Genomic DNA, 3,337 nt, shown 5'->3' with positions numbered 1-3,337 from the left:
GTAATGTCTTTGGGTGATTTTTCCCCCTCTCCCTGGATGTAGAAACCATTCAACTCAATTCAGTCTCTAGCATTTGTTGAGCACCTACCACAGGCCAGGTCCCACGCTCCAGCCTTGGCACTTGTTATCTCCTATCAGGATGTGAGAAAGTAAGGATAGCATGATGATTAAGAGCTCAGTGGCCACCCTCAGTGGCTCATACCTATAATCCCAGCACTTTGGGAGGCTAAGGTGGGAGGATTGCTTGAGCCCAGGAGTTCAAGACCAGCATGGGAAACATGTCAAAACCCTGCCTCTACAAAAAAATACAAAAATTATCCAGACATGGTGGTGTGCACCTGTAGTACCAGCTGCTTGGGAGGCTGAGGTGGGAGGATTGCTTGAGCATGGGAGGTTGAGGCTGCAGTGTGCCATGATCATGTCACTGCACTCTGGCCTGGGTGACAGAGCAAGATCCTATCTCAAAAAGAAAAAAAAAAAAAAAGGCTCAGGACCTGATGCCTCAGCTCAAATCCGACTGCAGCCAGTTTCTCCTGGATGAACCTGGATAGGTTTCTTTCTTTTTCTTTCTTTCTTTCTTCTTTTTTTTTTTTTCAGACAGAGTTTTGCTCTTGTTGCCCAGGCTGGAGTGCAATGGCCTGATCTCGGCTCTCTGCAATCTCCACCCCCTGGGTTCAAGCGATTCTTCTGCCTCAGCCTCCCGAGTAGCTTGGATTACAGGCATGCACCACCATACCTGGCTAATTTTTGTATTTTTAGTAGAGATGGGGTTTCACCATGTTGGCCAGGCTGGTCTCGAACTCCTGACCTCAGGTGATCCACCCTCCTCAGCCTCCCAAAGTGCTGGGATTACAGGTGTGAGCCACCAAGCCCGGCCCTTTTCTTTTCTTTTTAAGACAAGGTCTCGCTCTGTTGCCCAGGCTGGAGTACAGTGGCACAATCGGGACTCACTGCAGCCTCGACCTCCCAGGCTCAGCCTTCTGAGTAGCTGGAACCACAGGCTCACACCACTATGACTGGCTAATTTTTAAAATTTTCGGTAGAGATGGGGATCTCACTATGTTGCCCAGGCTGGTTTCAAACTTCTGGGCTCAAGCAATTCTCCCACCTCGGCCTCCCAAAATGCTGGGAATACAGGCATGAGCCACCACACATGGCCTAGAAAAGTTTCTTTATCTCTCTTTGTCTCATTTTCAAATATACAACGGGGATAATAATAGATAAGTTACTGTATAAGTTACTACAGTGCTTGGCACAAGAGCTCTTAAACTGACCTACTCAACGTCAAACAGCAATATAAAAATAGTACCTATGATTTATTAAGTGCCTATAATGCTCCTTGCTTACACTTTCTCATTTACTTGTCATCTTGATTTTATAGATGAGGTAAAGAAACCTGCTTATGGGCTGGGCATGGTGGCTCATGCCTGTGATCCCAGCACTTTGGGAAGCTGAAGAGGAGGACTACTTGAGCTCAGGAGTTTGAGACCAGCCTGGGCAACATAGGGAGACCCCGTCTCTAACGACAACAACAGAAATTACCGGACATGGTGGAGCGCACCAGTAGTCCCAGCTACTCGAGAGGCTGTGGCTACAGTGAGCCCTGATCATGCCACTGCACTCCAGCCTAAGAGACAGAATGAGACCCTGTCTCAAAATAAAAAAAGAAAAGAAAAAAGAAAAATAAAAGAAACCTGCTTATGGTTAGGTGATATTAGAGAAGGTTTCATAAAGAGAGAACACTTCAGCAGACTGCCAAAAGCTGAGCCCATGTGGAATAGATAGGAGCCCAAGAGAGGGGAGGTATGACAAGACCTCTTGGGGGAGATGGGACAGAGCAGAGGAAGGTAGGGAGGGCCACACCAGGTGGAGAAAAGAGCAGTAACAGAGCCCCAGAGACCTGTAATATTTGGTGGGGTCTCTGGGCACAGAAAGAAGAATGAGGGGCAGGAATATGGGGTGTCAGGAAGGAAAGGGAAAGGCGGGAGGCGAAGATTTAGGGGATGGTTGGTTATCCAGAGGAATCTCATGCTGATTTGAAGCTTATGCTAGACATCATCCAGCGCAGCCCTGTACCACCTGCATTAGAATCACCCAGGCAGGGCTGGGCACAGTGGCACACTCCTGTAATCCCAGCACTTTGGGAGGGCAAAGCTGGAGGATCACTTGAGCCCAAGAGTTCGAGACCAGCCTGGGCAACATGGTGAAACCCCATCTCTACTAAAAATGCAAAAATTAGGCGGGTATGGTGGTACACACCTGTAGTCTCAGCTACTGGGGAGGCTAAGGTGGGAGGATTGCTTGAGCCGGGGAGGTTGAGACTGCAGTGAGCTATGATCGTGTCACTGCACTTCAGCCTGGGTGACAGAGCAAGACCCTGTCTCAAAAAAAAAAAAAGTCAAATTGAAGGTAAACTTAGAACTTAGGCCGGGCGCGGTGGCTCATGCCTATAATCACAGCACTTTGGGAGGCCGGGGCGGGTGGATCACCTGAGGTCGGGAGTTTGAGACCAGTCTGACCAACCTGGAGAAACCCCATCACTACTAAAAATACAAAATTAGCCAGGCATGGCGGCACGCGCCTGTAATCCCAGCTACTTGGGAGGCTGAGGCAGAATTGCTTGAACTGGGAGGCGGAGGTTGCAGCAAGCCGAGATTGCGCCATTGCACTCCAGCCTGGACAACAAGAGCGAAACTCCATCTGAAAAAAAAAAAAGAGAAACTTGTTTCTCATGACCATAGGGGAAGCCTGTGTTTAGAGCCTTTCTCCTCTTCTTCCCACCCATCCCTGTCATGCCCCTAATTCCTTCACGCTTAGTCACAGACACACACACAGCGTGATGGTGACGATGCAGGTTCCTGTCTAACACAGGACTCTGCTAATTTATGGTGTATGTAAGTGGGCAGACACTGCAGAGTGCCCACCCTGCAGCCAATCCTGTTCCCTGGTCACAGGACCCTAAGTCCATTTTTTTGTTTTTGTTTTTTTTTAGAGGTGAGGTCTCACTATGTTGCCTAGGCTGGAGTACAGTGGCTATTCACAGGTATGATCATGGCATACTACAGCCTGGAACTCCTGGTCTCAGGCGATCCTCCTGCCCCTGCCTCCCAAGTAGCTGGGACTACAGGCATGCACCATCACACCAGGCCTCAGGTCAGCTTAAATGGCAACAGGCTGCAGCCCGCAGGAGGTGAATCCTGACGTTTGAGTAAATATTTGGGCACCGTGGCCCACCTCTGCTTTCTCAGTCAGCATCCTTAGGGTGCATGTCACTGTCCCATGATCTCTCATCAGACTAGGAGCCCCGCAGGGTATTTCATTGATCTTTGTACTCTTA

At 49.2% G+C, this 3,337-nt stretch overlaps 1 annotated feature.

The window, feature by feature from the left end:
* Window positions 2,138-3,337: an enhancer, noted in NCBI's record as "P300/CBP strongly-dependent group 1 enhancer chr1:23515051-23516250 (GRCh37/hg19 assembly coordinates)". NCBI's record gives its function as "activates an origin of replication core promoter dependent on BRD2, BRD4, P300/CBP, MED14 and CDK7 cofactors, with strong dependence on P300/CBP, by STARR-seq in HCT116 cells {active_cell/tissue: HCT116}" and the evidence as "EXISTENCE:reporter gene assay evidence [ECO:0000049][PMID:35650434]".

The sequence above is a fragment of the Homo sapiens genome, chromosome 1 (assembly GCF_000001405.40).
Source record: "Homo sapiens chromosome 1, GRCh38.p14 Primary Assembly".
NCBI lineage: Eukaryota > Metazoa > Chordata > Mammalia > Primates > Hominidae > Homo > Homo sapiens.
The sequence above is the reverse complement of the archived record's forward strand: the minus strand, read 5'-3'. Positions and strand labels throughout refer to the sequence as shown.